Below are 20,003 nucleotides of genomic sequence, written 5' to 3' on the forward strand. Positions count from 1 at the left end.
GGGGAGGAGGGTCTTTTTGGACCCAAGATTGTGCTAAAGTCTTCTCACCTGGTCAGAGTAGGGTTGATTGCATCCCCATCCAGAAGTCTGTGCTAAGGCATCTTCTGACTTTCTGTTGCACTTTGCACATCCCCTTGCCCTCACCATACACTGTCTTGCATTACAGATATTTTACAGGTATCTTCTTTTTTACAAGAATTGTCAACTCCTTGACACTCTAAGCATGTCTGTGTTGATCACTATTGTTCACACTAAGTTCATGAGTCAGATAGGTCCATTAAATAATGTAGCTAATGACTACACCTCTGCTCTTCTAAAATCAAATTCCTTTAATGATCTCAATCATAGCATAAGTATTTACCTTTCAATACATTCTTCTGGGATGCATATGATAGAGAAAACAGTCCTCTTGATGCAGTAGACACTCATTTCTTCTCTCTCTCTCTCTTTTTTTCTGGGACAGTGTTTCACTCTGTTGCCCAGGCTGAAGTACAGTGGCACGATCTCAGCTCACTGCAACCTCTCTGTCTCCTGGGTTAAGGTAATCCTCCCACCTCAGCCTCCTGAGTAGCTGGGACCACAGGCACATGACCCCATGCCCAGCTAATTTTTGTATTTTTTTGTAGAGACGAGGTTTTACCATGTTGCCCAGGCTCGTTTCTTCTCAGACTGACAAGCAGATTTATATGGCATTTGGAAGTCCATACATTCATTCTGAGTCTTATATTGTTATTGCAAACCCAGCAATGAATTTTGACAACTACTAGAATATGTGAAAATACCTTTCTTCTTCCCATTGTAGGACTGGGGGAGTGCTCATGTGCTCAGCTTGGAAGAGCTAGAAAAGGGAGAGGGCTGCAGTTTCTGGAGGGAAGTAGGATAGTCTCATGATTCTAGAACTGCTGGCCAGGGTGATTATGGTGGTTGAGAAATGATTACATGGCTAGTTCTTATCTTCAGGGTGACTGAAAAATTAGGGGAGATCACAGTTTTGCAATAGCTAAGAGGGGTTTCTAATGAGTTCTTATCATCTCTGAGAATTTGGGCAGCTGGGGAACGTTTGGGAAAGTTTCTGTGATGTGTGTTTGGGGAGGGAAGTTGGAAATGAATCAGTTTCTCTGAAGGTCTGGGAAGGAGGCTTTTCTGTGCAAAGGGAGGGTCAGACAGCTGGGAAGACCAATTGGGATTGCTATAGCAGCTCCAGGTCCCAGGGAATGGAGATGGCCTTTCTCATCAAAGAGGAATGGCAGGGTTGCAACAGCTGAGAAGACCCAGAGAAGGGGATTTAACAGAGGAAAATAAACCAAGACTAATGCAGGAAAGGTGCCACCAGTGTAGCTCAGCCTGCCTAGAACAGCATCTGTTTTCCACGTTAGCAGCGAGTCTAGCCTTTCTCCTCTAGGCAAATCTACCTGCCATCCCTCTAAGGGCTCTCCCTGGTGCTTTCATTTTTCTTCCAGAACTGATGCATATAAATTGCCATTTATCTCTTGTGATAATTCTGCAGAACCAGTTCAGTTAGTTAAAATATTAAAACACTTATAAATAGCCATGGTGGAAGATGATACCCCCATTAAAAATAAATATTAAAGATGTAAATGATGTGCAGTACTTCATGTTCCTGGAAAAGCTTTGTATAAATAGGATTTTGGTACTCAAATCACATTTAAATTTTATTAGAGTGTTATTTAATTCAAAAAGTTTACAATATGTGATTAGCACTGTGCTAAGCTAAAGCAAACAGTTCTTTGGAATGCAAATAACCATGAGTTCTGTTTAATATGATTTATATGTTTGAATTTGTTTAATCTTTAAAATTTAAAAATATAGCATGATTCACAAAAGTGAATGAAACAAATATATAGCCAATAATTACTATACAGTGCACACCTATAAAACCACCACTCAGATCAAGAAATTGCCTGAACATCAGAAGTTTCCCATGACCCCTTTCCTTCCTGAATGTAACAATTGCCCCCAATTACTCTGACATCTAGCACTGATGAGTTTTGTCAATTTCTTTTCTTTTCTTTTTTTTTTTTTGGAGACAGAGTCTCGCTCTGTCGCCCAGGCTGGAGTGCAGTGGCACGATCTTGCCTCACTGCAAACTCTGCCTCCCGGGTTCAAGCGATTCTTCTACCTTAGTCTCCCAAGTAGCTGGGGCTACAGGTATGCACCACCACGCTGGGCTAATTTTTATATTTTCAGTAGAGTCGGAGTTTCACCATATTGGCCAGGCTGTGCTCGAACTCCTGACCTCATGATCCACCTGCCTGGGCCTCTCAAAGTGCTGGGATTACAAGCATGAGCCACCGTGCCTGGCCAAGTTTTGTCCATTTCTAAATTTTATATAAATCAAATAAGATAGTTTATACTCCTTTGTGTCTGATTTCTTTCACCTCTCATTTAGTTGATGAGATTCATTCCTGTATGTTCACTCATTTTCTTGACTGAATAGTAGTATATCATGAATTACCAAATTAACTCATCCATTTTACTGTTTTAGACATTTATATGGTTTTTAGTTTTGAGCTCTTATAAAATTGCCATTATACGCATTTGTTCACCCACAGAAATCCATGTGTTCACTCATAGAAATGCACGGGTACATATACAGACAGGAATGCACATGTTCATGTATAGAAATGCAGGGTATGCACACACAGAAATGAGTGTCACAGGTGGCATAGTTACAAGATGCAAGAAGACTGCATCCCTGAGTCTCCACTTGAAAGGGAGCTGCCTTGGAGAGCTACTAAATCTGCTGTGAATTTTGCATGACCAAAAAATTAACTCCTATGTTTCTAGACATTGAAATTTTGAGTTCACTTATTATTGCAGCATAGTACAGCCTAATCTGACTAGTATAAAACAACATAAACAGTTTCAGAAATAATTTTTACAATCAAAATTAAGGATTGATTTTTACATCTTAAACTTTCATGATACCAATGGAAGAGCTTAATTTATCCATTCTAGTTATCTACAAGGTGATGGCAGGTGATAAAAGGACTTCTGGAGGCAGGGAAACTAGTATCAGCACATCCAACCAACCATGTGGTCTGAGCCCTTACCATGACACTAACTGATGTTTGTGATTCCTGAAAGGAGCCACTGGTGGCCCATTTGGTGGTTTGGTGACATTTATATGATTTCCCCATCTTTTCTAGTGAAACATGGCAAGACATTTTCCTTGTCATTTTTTTTTCCTAGGATGACATCCCCAGTGGTAAACAAGAAACTATTGGTCAGGGCCCAGTCAGGAAATCAGAGCCACTCCAAGGTACAGGGTTAAGGAAGGAGAGCTTTCACAAGTTTGGGAATTGCTGGGGAAGTTCAGAGGGAAACAGTGCCTAACCCTGACCAGCTGAAACCCTTGTGCAGGATACTGGTGGGAACTTGGAGAAAAGCCAATAGTAAGTTATGCAGATATGGCCCTTGGAGGCTGTGGAAGGGAAGCTTGAGGCATGAGGTGTAGGGACTGCAGCCTCTTTGGGGCCCAGGGGCTGGGTGAGGGCTGAAGGCTGCTCTGGGTCAGCAGAGCCAGCAGTGAGATGATATCACTGCAAAGCAGGAGGCTAGTGAGGATGTGCTGGGCACCGCTGTGTCCATCCACTGGCATGTTTGACCATATGACCCTCCTCCACTTCCCTTCAGTCTTCTCAATTCTGAGAATCATGTCTCCGGACAACTTTAGCCGAGAACCATACAAAGAAGGAAATTCTGGGAGCAGACAGCCATGCTGGCAATAGACAACCCAGCTTAGAGTCTCCAGTTCTAGAGAAATATTCTTCTGATGTCCTCTTATAGGGTATTGAAAAAACTAGGGCACTGCTGAAGGAAAGAAATCAGATTAATGTGTCCAAGGCAAAGGGTTACCATTTAAAGAGTGAATGAACACACAGAGTTATATGACCTGCTAAAATGAAAGATCCAAAAAAACCGTGCTGTTCTGATTTGGTACTCAGTAAATGGTGAAATGTTATCAATAGCAGGAAAAACAGCTTTATATTTAATATGATGATGACAATGACACCTGGCAAGGAATATGTTGAGCAGATAAAAATTTATTTATTTCTTAAATATATCAAAAGATACAAAAGTGACATGTACACAGTGGAAAGTCTATTAGGACCTTTTTTTCTTTTTACCATTTTAGTAAAAAACTACAAATTCACTATTAATTATTTGCTAGTGGAACAGTTAAAATAACTTGATGGAAAAAATCCTAGAAAATGTATTAATACTGTGCTAGGGGAAGAGTTTTGTGAACTGGGGATCCTCCCTTTTAGGGGATTATGAGCAAGGGTAGGTGTTGTATAATCAGTAGATGATTTCACTAGATAAGGGCTGTGATAGGGACAAGCACAAATATATCCACATAAGGGGTCAGGGAACATTTCTGGACTTGGATGAAACACCAATTTGTTTGGTGTGGAGGTCTGCTTTCCTACGTTGCCTGTAGAAGATTCTTATGAATAGGGCAAGCGTTAGTTCTGAGCATTTTAGATAAGGCTGTAGGGGACTGATTCAGTTGAGCCCAGAAAGATGGGCCCAAATGAGTGGGTGTGGGACAGTTCAACATAAAAAGGGGTAAAGCAAGAGAGGGAGGCTATGGAACACAAAAACGAACAGATGGCCAGATGGAGAAGCAAAGCCAAGTTTTGTCGGGCCTGAAGCTTATCACATTTTGAGGACTTCATTAAGAAAAAGAACACAAAATTAAGTATAGAAAATTAGGCAGAAAAATAAACATCCTTGGAGGAGGTGACACCTAAGCGGAGAAAGAGCAAGTTCATGGAAGAAGGAGGAAGGGGTTACAGACCTGTAGTTCGAGGAGAAGACACCTTCTCTGACATGTTGTTGGGGACCCAGGGGTGGGTTGCTGGAAGTCCTGGAGGAGGTGTTGGGGGTAGGTAGGGGGGATGAATGCTCACAGCTGGGCTGGAGGGCCTCAGAGAGACAAGATCTTAAGAACGGAAATTCTGCACCCAGTTTTCAGAATTTTCTAGGCCCACTGCACAATGAAGGCGTTGTACTGTCTTGGTGAAAAACAAATGGGAATACATGAGGTGTAATGCATTTTTTGTCTTAAAACTGAGCAAAGACATGGTTTTCTATTAATAGCTGCAAGAAGTGGTCAAATTTCCTTCATTCATTCTAAAAATATTTTATAAAAGCATAAAAATACAACTGTCCATGTTTTGAGAGTCCATGTTTTACATTCTTCTCCTTTTCTTTCTTTCTTTTTTGCAGAACCGTCAAGTTCAAAACATGTTTTCCTTTCACTTACGTATTTACCACTGCTTAAGTATTTATTAAGCACCTACTACTTGCCCCACGTGCTTCTAAGTGTGGGATATAGGAATGAGCAACATTAAGTTTCTGATTTCATGGAGCTTGTAAGAGGAGACAGACAATAAGCAAATAAACAAACAAATATATCATACAACTTGAACCCACACACCTTGGAGGGCTTCTTGTAGCATTAGTTCCAAGCATTTTAGATAAGGCTGTAGGGGACTGATTAAGTCGAGCCCAGAAACATGGACCCAAATGAGTGGGTGCGGGACAGTTCAACGTAAAAAGGGGTAAAGTAAAGGCATTCTGTAAAGGGGTAAAGTGGTAGGCATTCTGTCATCTCTCTGCTTTTGGACTTGGATGAAATACCGAACTGTTTGGCGTGGGGTCTGATTTCCTATGTTGCCTACAGAAGAGTCTCATGAATAGGGCAAACATTAGTTCCCGGCATTTTAGATAAGGATGCAGGGAGCTGACTAAGTTGTGTCCAGAAAAACGGGCCCAAATGAGTGGGCGTGGGATGATATTCAGCATGAGAAGGGGAAAAGCAAGAGGGGGACGCACAGGACACAAAAACTGACAGCTGGCCAGATGGAGGGGCAAAGCCAAGTTTTGTAGGGCCTGAGGCTTATCACATTTGTGAGACTTCATTAAGAAAAAAAAATACAAAATTAAGAATAGAAAATTAGATACAAAAACAAATGTTTAAAGTGAGAAATGCATCACAATAAGTTACAAATTTTAAAAGGCTAACAAACACCATAAACTTAAACAAAATACATAAGACATGACATTTTAATAAACTGCTTGACACACTTCTATGACATTATTTTCATTTTTCAGTTGCATACCCTTTGATCACTTCTTCAGTTTTGTAAGATATTTTCTATAAGAACAATAGGAAGTTACTTCACACACAGGTGAACTTGCTTTTTGTTGTACTACTACAGCCTCATGTCCTTACAAACATGGGAATTCAGATCATTCATTTCATGTGATTTTTCTCCAAAAATGTATGATGCATTTGTAAGTGTATCTGCTGCATTTAGAGTACAGGTACATTTCTGACAGCAGACAACTTCTGTTTTGATCAGGTTTAGTAGAGAGAACCAAACCTTCTCTAACAATGTTGTGTTTTCTTCTGTTTGTTTCTTTTTGAGACAGTGTCTCACTCTCGCCCAGGCTAGAGTATATTGGTTGATCAAGGGCTCACTGGAGCCTCGACTTCCCAGGCTCAAGTGATCCTCCTACCTCAGCCTCTGGAGTATTTGGATTACAGGTGTGAGTCACCACACCTGGCTAATTTTTTTATTTTTGGTAGAGACAGGGTTTCGCCATGTTGGCCAAGCTGGTCTCGAACTCGTGGCCTCAACCGGTCTGACTGCTTCAGCCCCCCAAAGTGTTGGGATTACAGGCGTGAGCCACCGCACCAGCCGATATTAGGTGCTTTATGATGGAAAGAATTGCCAGACTAGCTTCCAGCTCTGCCCATCTCAAGCTCTGCTACTCTTGCTACTGGAACCCTTCTAGTGTTGGGGAAAGTAAGACAGTTAAGGGCACCAATGTGACTCTCACAGAGGGTCATAGGTATGTCAGTGGTAGCCATTCCTATACCTGGATGGCTAGCAACAACATATCTACATAGGAGAACTGTAAACCACATAAATATATCCTGTCATCACAGCCAGGGCGAGGGAGAGGCAAGTCAGGTACCTGAGGCTCAAAACTTAACATTGGCACTTGCCTGACCCTGAGAGTAAGGGCCCTCTAAATTTGTTGTTTTTTGATATTGCCTCTGAATGCTCAATTTGTCATAAATTTTGCATCCTTGACATCCCCCTTATCTCACCTTCATCCTGATTCTGTATCCCATTACACCCAAACAACCTGTTTGGGTCTCCCCAACTTCACTTTCTTTGGCTGATCCCCAAAATCTTCATGGCCTCTTCAAAGTCACTCAATATGAGGGTAAGTTACAGTTTAAAAAGACAGTGAACATAACTGGTGGTGATTAAAATACTTTTTTTTTTTTCAAAATTTACAGAAACATATTACCACGTGTACACATTGCTAGGTCTTCCAATGTGAAAGTGTCCTTTGCAAGTCAGGGGTCCTGGATTCAAGCTTCTAACTTCTTGATAAATCCATCTCTGCATTCTGACCATGGCCATACGTTCAAGATTACGTTTATCATACTGACTTATTTTTGCCTCCAGGATTTTGGTTAGAAGCTCAGGCTCTGGGGCTAGACTATTTGGGTTTGGATCCTGGCATTGCCACTTACTAGCTTGTGGAATCCCAAAACGTTACTTAATATCTCTGTGCCTCAGGTGTTCTCATCTGTAAGTAATGTTAAGATTAAAAGAATTAGTTCTTGAAGAGTGCTTACAACAGTATCTGACACATTATGAAAGTTCAGTATTTGTTATTGTTATTTTTACTACCACTAGTATCAATGTGTATTAATAATATGTGGCCCTTCTCACACCACGCTGTACACCCCCAGGACTCTTGGTATTCTGACTTGGCTAAGAGGCGTCCTTTTTCTGAATAGACTGTTGACCACATGTAGAAGGAAGGCAGAGAGAGAAATGAATCAAAGGGAAACGGAATATTTTTTCAGACATATTAATGTCTCCGAATTACCTTTAAGTAAATGAAGGAATTGGGGGTATAAAAAAATTTCTGGAGCATACATGTATAAAGGTTCACGGCATGCCGAAAGACAAAGTCAAAGGAGCATTCACAATGGAGCTGGCATCCTTTTGCTTCAAAATGAGAAAAAATCACACGATCAGCTGCAGTTAGACTTAAGGAAAAAAGCTGTCTGTTAATTCAATCTCATTCGCAGGACAGGCCTCCAGGACACTTCATTTTTCCCCCTGGGTGGAGCCGTGGCCAGCCGGGGGCTCCACGGAGTGAATAGGAGGCGGCTCAGGCTTCCTGGCTCGCGTGGGCGCCAGAAAGCGGAACCTCCCGGGCCAGTCGCGCGGTGGTCACCCTCTTGGGAGCTGGGGAGGAGGCTGCGGAGGCTGGCCCGGCTCCTTCGGGCGTCGCTTCCCGGACCGGGTGCGCGGGGTCCCCCGGAACGTGTGTTCCAGGTCCTCCCGCGCCAGTGTTCGCAGTCCCCGCCTGGTCGCGGCGGCGCCTCGGGCGCGGGTGCAGGCGCGCGGCGCGCAGGCGGGGGGCGCTGTGGTCTTGGCGCGGGGACCGAGCCGCTCGGCCAGACCCGCCTCTTTTCCCTCCCCGCCAGCCCGCCCGCCTGCCCGCCCCCCACGCGTCGTGTCGCCGGGAAGCCGGGCGGAGACAGAGCGCTTGGGATCCACGGCGCTCGGACCGCTGTCCTCCAACAGCGCAGGGCAGAGCGGCTGGCGCCGCCGGAGCGCGGAGCCACGACCCTCCCTGGCCGCCTTTGTCTACTGGCCGTGCGGCCCGGAACCGCCACTCTCCAGGGCCGGGGACGCGCCCGCAGCTGTCGGTGACAGCTCCTCCCTACCGCAACCCTCCGGGGCGGAGGGGCGGTCGGGCCGGGCCCTGCTAGCCCGCGACCGCAAGCCCGCGCTCGCGGATCGATGCCCCCGCAGCAGGGGGACCCCGCGTTCCCCGACCGCTGCGAGGCGCCTCCGGTGCCGCCGCGTCGGGAGCGCGGTGGACGCGGGGGACGCGGGCCTGGGGAGCCGGGGGGCCGGGGGCGTGCGGGGGGTGCCGAGGGGCGCGGCGTCAAGTGCGTGCTGGTCGGCGACGGCGCGGTGGGCAAGACGAGCCTGGTGGTGAGCTACACCACCAACGGCTACCCCACCGAGTACATCCCTACTGCCTTCGACAACTTCTCCGGTGAGCTGGCCGGGGGGCCGGGGCCGGGGGCGCGTGGCCGCGGTCCACCCAGGGGAAGGAAGGTGGCGCGAGGGTCGCGAGGTTCCCAAGGGGGCTGCAGGGCCCCGGGCGCGGCTCCAGCTGGGAAGCCGGACAAATGAGGAGTGCAGGACGTTTCCTGAGTCTCAGGGACCGGGCAAGCGCGGAGCTAACACGAAAGGACCACGGCGGAGTGGGCTTGGAGAGAGGAGGGCGGAGCGGCAGTCAGAGCCTTGCCAAAAAAAAAAAAAAAAAAAATCTCACAATTTAAGCAACAGATAAGTAGGAGTGAAACAGGTTGAGTTCAGGGTGCCCGGTCAGTTTGTTGCATAGAGCAAAGTTTCCTGAGGGCGACGTCGCTGGCGCCGCTGCAGAGTTTCAATCAGAAGGTGACGCGCAGGTGCCTTTACCTGAGCGTCGCTCCTTTGCTTTTAGGCGGCTCAGCTCACAAGGGGCGTCTCCGCTTTAAAGAGCCGCGGAGACGCCGGGAAAACACTTGATTTAGTGAAAAAGCGCGAGCGGCCCTCGTGAAGGCTTAGGTTTGGATGAAACCTGAAGAGTAAACACCATTTCTTTCTTCTGAGCCCCACCACCTTCCCTGCCCACATGGGCTCGGATTCTGATTGTTGGTATCTTTTCAGGATCCCTTTAAGCTACTTAAAGCTCCTATGTACCGGGTGCGATGCCATTTCCCTTGGTAGATACAAAGAGAAAGGAATTCTCTATCTTGCTATTCAGGTCTTTTTGAAATTTAAGAAAAAGTTAAAATTCACAGAAACTAGTATGAAACACTTAACTGTCTTGCTTCTTTAAAAAAAAATTGCTTCTCTGACCTTCCTTTCATCCCAAAGGTACCTTAGAGAAATGGGTGCTGTACTGGTGGGTTCCCACCGCAGGGTATTGTTTCTTCCCCTCCCCCCACCCCACCCCTGCAGCTGACTAGTATAAATATTTAGAAACAATTAGAAAGTTGTGTAGAAAGAGACAAAACTGACTGCTTAATTAAAATAGAAACCTCCACAACATGTCCTGCTGCAGGCCTCTCCACACTCCCCGAGTCCCCGGATCCCAGTGGAAAGGGGGCCATGGCTTTCTTTTTTCTTTTTTAATCCTCCTTTTGACCTGACATAGAGATAAGGAGTGCCCTCATTTCTTAAACAGGACAATGCGGGCAGCCTGTGTTTGCACATGTTCTCAAAACACACTAGAATTGTATGATAAACCCTGAAGTTGGGGAACCTTTCCCAAGGGAAAACAGAATTATTTGTGAGGTTTTCCACTGATTTAAAACTGCAGGGTTGCTTCCCATTTACCCCCAGTGTTGTTTTTAGGTCCTTTGAAACAAGTGTGACAGGAAAATAAATCTTCCAGGACTGGGAGAAAAGCATAGGCCTTTTTAGGGTCACCATCAAAGCGTTCAGGGATTTGCTGCCTGGTTCACGGTAATGGAGTGACTTGCCAGCCGTGGGTTTGTATACAAAAATGCCTCCACAGGGCCTCCTTGTTTTTGGCTAGTCTTTAATTCATTAGAGGACCTAAAATAGGAGCAAAGGGGTTTGGAGTGAGAATGATAGTGAAAGCTAAAACTATTAGTATTCCGAAAGGGGTTAAAAGACACCTCCTGATTGTCATTTTGGTTTTGTTTTTAAGCGGTGGTGTCTGTGGATGGGCGGCCCGTGAGACTCCAACTCTGTGACACTGCCGGACAGGTCAGTATCACGTTACAGCTCAGTGCTGGGAAAGGAAACAGCCTTTTAAAGATTTCCAAATAACCTTTGATTCCCTCAGTCAGTAACTGGGTCATTCTAAAGCCTCATGAAGTGGACCCACCCCTGCTGTTGGCCCTTCTCTGAGGGTGGGCAGGGGCCAGGTTATTGGCCGGCAGGAAGCAGAGGAAGATACCTCCAAACTAATAAAGCAGGGTTTGGCCCAGCTCTGCGTAACCAGGCAAGGGAGGAAGCAGTGTCAAGAACAGCTCTTGTAGGAGTTTCTATTACTTACTCCCTGGTTTTTATGAAAAAATTTCAGTGATGCTTTGTCATCATTTCCCAAACTAAGTTAGTGATGTCTTATAATCGTTTTATTAAAGGCCAGTGAGTCAGATATTGAAGAAATTTGCTCAAGAAAAAGATGGAATTTACATCAGTAAGGGTTAATATTTCCCTTCCTGAGCTATGGTTTGACTCGCTAGGACCAGCCCCATCACTTGAAGCACAGATACATTTGTCAGAGCAGTCCTAAGCTGGAGGGATGAACTAACTGGGCTTATTCTATCCAAACTGTGAACGCTGGTTCTTGTCTCGAGGGCTGGGCCCTTGGAGGAAATAGCCAGGGAGTGTAGGGTTCCCTCTTTGTGTTCCCCAGAAGAAGCCCCCATTGGTGGGTACTCGAGTCATTGAAGTCAGGCTGTGCCTTGTGAACACCCAGGGGTACTTGATTTTGGCAAAGTGATAGTTAATGAACTTGTCTCTCTAGTATGTTCTAGAGTTCAGCAAAGTTCCGGGGGTACTTTGTAGGCAGGTGAAAGTGCCCCCTTCACTTTCTGAGGTGCCATCACATGACTATCTGTGTTTATGAAGGCACTGGCTTTCCACTGCCCCCCAGAGCCTCATCTACGCCAGAGCTTCCAAGTTGCTCACCTACTCTGGGACAGCAGATTCAGAGCTAAGGACAGATCTTATTTTTTAAACCTGAAGATGACATAAGACCGTGGAGCCTTGATCTCCAAGGAACACCGGGCTGGTGCAGGCCATAGCTTGGGAGCACTTCAGCTTGGAAAAACCAAGCACTGTCCGTATTGTATTGTCTGTAGAAAACAAAAATCAGGCTGGGTGTGGTGGCTCATGCTCTTTGGGAGGCTGAGGTGGGAGGATTGCATGAGGCCAGGAATTTGAGACCAGCCTGGGTAGCATAGCAAGACATCATCTCTACAAAATAAAAAAATTAGCCTGGTGTGGTGGCACTGTCTGTAGTCCCAGCCACCAGCCACTCAGGAGGCTGAGGTGAGAGGATCGCTTGAACCCAGGAGTTTGAGGCTGTAGTGAGCTATGATGGTGCCACTGCACTCCAGCCTGGGCGACAGAGCAAGATCCCATCTCTTGGGGGTAAAAAAAAAGAAAAATCAAAGAATACAGTCACTTCTAGCACTGAATCTTTCTGAATGCAATGGTGATATTTATAATTCAAGCTTCATTTCCTTGTATGAAGTGAGGATGCTTTGTCTACCAGGGGGTCAGGTTTTCTGAGTTTTAAAACATGGCCAGCCAGGCGCGGTTGCTCACGCCTGTAATCCCAGCACTTTGGGAGGCTGAGACGGGTGGATCATGAGGTCAGGAGTTCAAGACCAGCCTGGCCAAGATGGTGAAACCCCGTCTCTACTAAAAATACAAAAATTAGCTGGGTGTGGTGCCGGGCGCCTGTAATAGCAGCTACTCAGGAGCCTGAGGCAGACAGTTGCTTGAACCTGGGAGGCGGAGGTTGCAGTGGGCTGAGATCGCGTCACTGCCCTGCAGCCTGGTTGACAGAGAGAGATTCCATCTCAAAAAAAATAAAACACAGGCAGAGGAACATGTCAGTAAACATAGCCATCGGACCTGCTGAAGTCAGACCCTGAGGATAAGATGGAAGTCAGGAAAATACAGGAAGTCCAAAGGCACAGTTAGCAGGGAGCCTTACGGGCTGGAGCAGAAGCTCAGTGCACCTACCTGCCCCAGGATGTCACTCAAATATCACTGTCCACTGGGCTCCCCGTAAGTGTTGGCTCTTCAAGCAGGATGCAGCTTCTTGAGCTGGGGTTTCATGCCCAGTGCCCAGCATAGTGCCTGGCACATAGCAGGGCTTAATCTCGTGGTTTTAGAATGGATGAACCAGAGAAGGACCAGGTGGTGGGGGTATAAACATAAGTTGTGGGCCTGCCCCTTAATAGACTTACAGTGTGGAGGGAAGACAAATGGAAGCTCGTGAAGGAGCAAGCAAAGGGAAGAAAAGAGGTTCGGGCTTAGAGGTGCAGGCTGGTTGGGCCTGGCAGGAAAACCTCTGAGCAGAGTTTTGAAAGACAAATAGGAATTTTACCAGAAGAACTTTGCATAAATGACTGAATCATCAAGGAAGAGTTAAATTGTTCCTGTTTAAAAATCAGGGAAGCACAAGCATCACTTTAGTAGTATTTTTGCACAAAAAAGTTTATAATTAGGGAAAAACGAAGGTTTTGGTGCTACATTTGTAAGTTTCAGTTTATTTGAAAATTATTCTTCTGGCCTCTTAGCAATATTTTCAATGAGATTTACTGTATTTCTTAACCTTTGTGTACTGGTTAGAAGAGTATACCCAATTAAATAATGAATAAGACCACTATCTAAAAATTTGTAGACTTTTAGAACCAACTTCAAAACTTTTGAAGAAGAACCATCTTCAAAAACTATGAAAAATAAGCTGCTGGTAAGATAAGTCAGTTGTTCTGTTTTTGTTTTCCTGATCCCCCATTTATAAATTAGTCTTTGTTTAGACTACTAGCCAAGCTGGTCAAAGTGGCAGTTCTTTTCTACTCTCCCTAGTCCTGATCTGATAAAATACATTTTAAGGGACTTGCTGTGATACCTGCCAAGTTTCCTTATGGAGGAAGGAACACATACCTCTTCTAGGCAGTTGACATAAGAGCCTTGAGGGTTAAGTGACTCCACTGACCTCCACTTCAGATGCCTGGAGAATCAACGTGAGCACAGATAGGCTAGAACTTGGGGATGTGGAGCTGGAGTGTGGGTTTCCCACAGAAGTTGATGGGAGCAGAGTATGGATGGCTCTACATGCTGAAGAAATCACTTCTTGTACTTTGGCTTTTCTTGTTAGGGAGGGTAGGCGAGTCTATAAGATGTCAAAAGGAGTTTTTAACACTGGTCTTACATCACTCAAGGGCAGATTGATCAGAGACAGACTGGAGGCTTGAAAAAACATACCTTTGGCATAAGAGAAAAAAGTATTGCGGAAATAGGAGTAGTTCACTGGAGAGTTGCCAATAGAAGCTGAAAATTCTTCAGCCTTTTGACCCATAAAGTACTTGGAAAAATCTTATACTGAAAAAAAAAAATCAAGTTGCAGCTAGACCAGAGGGATGTAGAATCCAGTCTCGTCTCTCTGCCCCGCCAACCCTGATCAGACTTCTGTGCAGTGTCCGTACCACAGACCTGGCAAGCACATGCAAATTGCTTGGCCTCAGAACGCCTTTTCTTAAGGGTGCATTCCAGTTGTCCTCATTGCACGTGTGTATTGCATTATTTCTAAGATTTCAGGTCAGGCACTGAGCAGGAGGGTCTAATTTCTGTTTTATTTCTCAAGCCCCTTAGCCAGAATCTCAAGAGATCTGGGGAGATAGCTTTCCAAAGCCCCCTCAGAAGTCCCAGCCCTTGTGCTTGCCTTTATTTTTCTCAGTAATGCAACCCCAGATACCAGGGCATGGCCAGGGGTGCAGCTACCTGAGGGGGCTGCCTTAATACTGGTCTCAGTTTTATGCTTCTTTCTTTGAGGCCCTCTAAGAACAGAGGGAGCATTCCATTAAAAGATCTTCATGACTGAGCCATAGTCTACCTGGCTGTGTTTCTGTGTTTATTTATTCATCACAAAGTTGGCATGAAGAAACTTAAGTCATTATTTTTCTTTTTAAAAATTTTTTTTAGAGAGCAGGGTCTTGGTATGTCACCCAGGCTGGTCTCAAACTCCAGGGCTCAAGTGATCCCCCTGCCTCAGCTTCCCAAGTAACTGTGACTATAGGCACGTGCCACCACATTTGGCTAAGTCATACTTTTTCAACTTTCGCTTACAGAAGCCTCACAAGTGACATTCTGAAATACCACATTGATTGCTGAGCATTTTAGCTGGTTGACTTTAATGTGATTAGTTGGTTGGCTGTCGTCCCGTAATTGAAACATGGGGCCTCAAATGAAGAAAGTACATTCAAATAAGTTACAGGTTTCTTTTATACCAAGAGAAAAAAGCCACGGATGGAGTATAATGTGATGTAAATGGTACTTGGTAAATAATCGGAGTGTGTCAATTGAGTAATGAAAAACATGAATGGCGTTGAACTTTTTCTTGTCATTGGGAAATTATTTATACCTGAGGATGGTTGGCACCAACAGATATACATTTTACATAGGAAAGAGTAAATATTTTTCTACAAAAGAGTTGAGCAAAAGTTGTCAGTTAGCTGAATATGGTGCTACAGGGAACTATAGGATGTTTTCTGTAAAGAAATGGTAATTTGGAGAACAACATCTGTCTGTTCACAGCCAAATCCCCTCGCCTGCCACTGTGCCTTGAGTGTAGGTGATGTTCAGTGTGTCTGTTAAATGGATGACCACGGGAGAGCATTGGCAGCACAACCGTTGGTTTATTTGTAATCAACTCTAACTTATTCTATCCACTTCTCTATACTTTAAGGGTAGGGTGGGCGTGCCTATTCTCCAGTTCTTATCTGTCCAAAGCACTGTACATGGAGGCCATGGGTACTGGCAAGGATAAAGGAAGTAGGAGAAAATGAAGGAAGGAGGGAGGAAGAGAAGATACAGCCAGAATGAGGATGTATTAACTAGTGTCTGTAAGTGGCACTGAGCTGCAAAAGTTTTCTGAGTCACGATGACAATGGACTGACAAAGGTCCTCAACTCCATTTCTGGTCTGGCCTTGAGTCTGATTAGCATTACTCTGCGTTGCTGTGCATAGTGTGGGCAGAGCGTGTGCACAGTGCAGATGGGATGAAATTGGCATCACTCAGAGCTGTTGGGAAAGGCAGGGCTGGATTGATAAAGAGAGGAGCTGTGTTCGTAGACTGGGTTTGAGTGGGAGTCTTGAGGATCAATATGGGTGTGGTCTGAATTTTAGAAGAGTAGCTAAGTACCAAGAGTTGAGAGTAGGTTTGGGTTACACTCAGCTGAAGGCTTAAGTCCATTTTATTTCTAGAACCCACCTACTTTGAGCACTTTTTCTATGTTAAGCTGTAAGTAGGTCTTGAGTGTCGATGAACACGTTGAACATGTTTGGCAGTGTTCAGACCATAGCTGGCCCTGAAAGCAGATGGCTGCCACACCTTCGCTGGTGCACTGGCCCCGCTTGGGTAAACAGTAGGATCGTTTCAAGGATGCTGGCTCTTCCTTCTAGAACCAGCGGGTCTTCTATCACCTGCCAGACCCTTTCATGAAAAATGTGAAGGTGATCTTTTTACTGATGAGAATTCATGAAAACATAACTTTTGGGTACTTTGCTTGGTTGCAGGATGAATTTGACAAGCTGAGGCCTCTCTGCTACACCAACACAGACATCTTCCTGCTCTGCTTCAGTGTCGTGAGCCCCTCATCCTTCCAGAACGTCAGTGAGAAATGGGTGCCGGAGATTCGATGCCACTGTCCCAAAGCCCCCATCATCCTAGTTGGAACGCAGTCGGATCTCAGAGAAGATGTCAAAGTCCTCATTGAGTTGGACAAATGCAAAGAAAAGCCAGTGCCTGAAGAGGCGGCTAAGCTGTGCGCCGAGGAAATCAAAGCCGCCTCCTACATCGAGTGTTCAGCCTTGACTCAAAAAAACCTCAAAGAGGTCTTTGATGCAGCCATCGTCGCTGGCATTCAATACTCGGACACTCAGCAACAGCCAAAGAAGTCTAAAAGCAGGACTCCAGATAAAATGAAAAACCTCTCCAAGTCCTGGTGGAAGAAGTACTGCTGTTTCGTATGATGCTGGCAAGACACCCAGAAAGGCTATTTTCAGATGAAATCGATATTAGAAGCTATATTAGCTGAAACAACTCCTTTTACTGCGTAGAACCTATATCGAGAGTGTGTGTATATGTATTATAGGAGGAGCTCTCAATTTTATGTATTCTTTCTGCCTTTAATTTTCTTGTTTGTTTGAGCTTAGGGATGAGATACTTATGCAAGATATTTTTGAAGTAAATTAAACATTTTTCACATCTCTGGAAATTTAGAGTTCTAGACCTCTGGTTAATTTATATCTAATATGAAGAAGACACCTCTAATCTGGATGTTAAGAATGAAGTTCTGCTACATTATAATGTACAGAAGAGCAAAAGGGAGGAACACTATGGTTAACCCTCTCTTGATTAAGGGCTACTTAATGCACAGTGCATTATGTACACAGGTCAACCATGGTAACAATAGTTCTTAGCTTTGAAACTCCATGCAAACCATGCCTTTTTTTTAAGGAGCAAAAATCTGAGAAAAAAAGTGAGAGACCTCTGCCTACAAAACCTCAAACCAGTCACTTTTGTCAATTGCTAATACCCAGTTACTTATGATTTAAAAACAACCAACAGAAAACATCCCACTGACTGTATGGCACTCTGTAGTCAAAAAAGGAAACTTCCTTATTGGGACTTTTCTTTCTTAGTCCAGTTGTGTTGACACATATGAACACAGACAAAGTGCTATGCGGAGGAAAGCAAGTGTTGGTCAGTAGTTTCATGTTTTAGGGAGTGGTTCCTGTGGAGATCAGAAAGTGACATTTGCTTTCGGTACTGTAATACGTGCACCAAACTGCCTCAATCCTAGGTAACGAGGGCAACAGGGAGCACCTGTCTGGATTGTTTTTAAACCTCCATACTCAAGCTGTCTCTTCGGCAGGGAGGTGAATACTCTTGAAAGGCCAACAGCAAGTGTTTGTGGGACACAACACAGATAATTTTTTCTTAAGTCGGCCAAGATGTACTTCTCTGTGTGCACACCCATGCACACTCATGCACACAGATACATAGGTCTGTATGGCTGTATTTGCTGTTGATTCAGACTTTCACACCATTAATGGGGAAAAGCGTGGCCACAAAAACAGATGCTAGGAAGCTTGGCTTCCTCTTCTTGTTGACCCTTTTTTGAACCAACATCTTTTTTATTATATTCAGAGTATGTTTTTAAGTGTATCTTAATATATACATTTTTTAGGACATCTTAAATCTAAACAAAAAATAAAATGAACATCTCTTGAAACCTGTTAAAACAACCAGTTAAAGCCACAGATGGCTTTCAGGGCAGTAGCAGCAGAGGCCAGTGGACTCTGAGGACTCCTGAGGGGCGGGGCGTGTAGCCAGCCAGGTGCATGCCGGGACCATGGCCCCCATACTTGGCTGCTTCCTGTGACAGTGAAATACATCCTTCAAGGTGGCAGCTGTTAGGGCTGAATCTTCTGGAGAAAAAGGTGCCATCTCAGGAGAATAGCTTTTACTCTGGTAGGAATGCTTCCGAGACACCACAAGGCAGCCTGAACACTCAGTTGCAGGGTCGGGCTTGCGGTGGGTGACCCAGAGCCACCAAAGTCACATCCACAACTAATGAGGGAAATCTGTAAAGCCAGTTAGATAGAAGAATTTTATTTTTCTGTGGGTTTTGTGTTGTCTTTTTTATGTTAAAAAGAAATCCAGTTTGTGTTTTTCTATAGAAAAAGTAAAAGATCAGGTTATACTTTAGGTTAGGGGTTCTATTTATTCCTGTTAGTAAATAAAATTAACAAATTTCTTTGTTTAACAAAAGATTAATCTTTAAACCACTAAAATACATAGACTGATTGATTATTCAACACATTGGAATTGATGTCGGTCATAGTTTCCTGAAGCATTTAGTTACAACCTGAAGGAATAAAATGATTTGTGGAAATGCTTAAAATAGACCTAACTGAATACAGTCTCATCTTGCCGCGCCTGGCTTACCTATCTGTGGAAAGCTAGGCTTCCCAGGCTGGGCTCTGCCTGTCTGGTGCCTGGAGGTGTGGGAGGGAAGATGAGTTATTTAACTGGTAAGCGATTTGAAACACTATTTTTATATTAAAGTAAATGGCATGGAGTATAGTGCAAATTCATTTTTAAGATAGAACACAAAACTTGAAAGAAGTTTTATGCGTGTGACAGTGTATGGGGCTGCAGTTGGTCTCCCTGGAGGGGACTTCCACACCTCCTGCCTTTAGGCCATGGGTGGAAAGTGCTCAGTGAAGTACACCTGTGTGGCCCAGTTCTGAAAGCTTTATACAGTTGAATTTTAAGTGGGGTTGATAACACCTTGGACTGTTAGTGTTAAAAATCTAGTGGGTTGACCTTTAAATGCAACAGTTTTTAAAATATATTGCTGCATTTTATAGAATAGTAAAGGTACGATTATACTTGAGATTTTCCTCCATTTTTATTTCTTCGTGAACATAGAGTTTGGGGCCGAAAATGTTTTTAAAGTATGTGTTTGAGTTAAATATAAAGTTGGTTCACTTCAAAGCTAAAAAATTGTTAAACTTGCAGCTTGGTATTGCAGAGAAGATTTTATAAGAATTTTGCTTTAGAGAATGCCACTTTGGCTGAACTACAAGTGTAGGCCACCATTATAATTTATAAATACAGCATACTTCAAAACTGTTTGTTATCTCTTGTTACCATGTATGTATAAATGGACCTTTTATAACCTTGTTCTCTGCTTGACAGACTCAAGAGAAACTACCCAGGTATTACACAAGCCAAAATGGGAGCAAGGCCTTCTCTCCAGACTATCGTAACCTGGTGCCTTACCAAGTTGTGCTTTTCTGTTTTCAAGTGTAAATGATGTTGAGCAGAATGTTGTACTTGAAAATGCTATAAGTGAGATGGTATGAAATAAATTCTGACTTATGAATATAATGGCTCTTGCCTTTTCTATCTGAGAATTTTGTTGGAGGTGTTTAGCCACATCTTGAAGCAGCACTAGTTGGGAAGCATCGTGGCTTACCCTGAGAGGTGTTTTGGGAATGCATCTCCAACCAATTTGAAGTGCTTATTCATTCAGCATGGGGTTTTCTGAATTCTGGAGCCACAGTCTGACAATAAGCACCCGCCGACTACAT

General features: G+C 44.3%; 1 protein-coding gene across 2 annotated transcripts in view; it reads left to right on the forward strand.

The window, feature by feature from the left end:
• RHOU (ras homolog family member U) overlaps positions 1–19,800 on the forward strand; it is a 102,023-nt gene extending 82,223 nt beyond the window's left edge. The window contains exons 1-3 of one of the 2 annotated variants that reach the window (NM_021205.6): positions 8,610–9,135; positions 10,804–10,862; positions 16,416–19,795. In NM_021205.6, the coding sequence (NP_067028.1) occupies positions 8,874–9,135; positions 10,804–10,862; positions 16,416–16,871 (777 nt within the window). In that variant the 5' untranslated portion in view covers positions 8,610–8,873 and the 3' untranslated portion in view covers positions 16,872–19,795. Of the gene's footprint in view, positions 1–8,609; positions 9,136–10,803; positions 10,863–16,415 lie in introns of those variants that run through there. The other variant, NR_037962.1, reaches the window with a different exon arrangement.
• Positions 19,801–20,003: the final 203 nt, after the last annotated feature.

The sequence above is a fragment of the Homo sapiens genome, chromosome 1, assembly GCF_000001405.40.
Source record: "Homo sapiens chromosome 1, GRCh38.p14 Primary Assembly".
Classification (NCBI taxonomy): domain Eukaryota; kingdom Metazoa; phylum Chordata; class Mammalia; order Primates; family Hominidae; genus Homo; species Homo sapiens.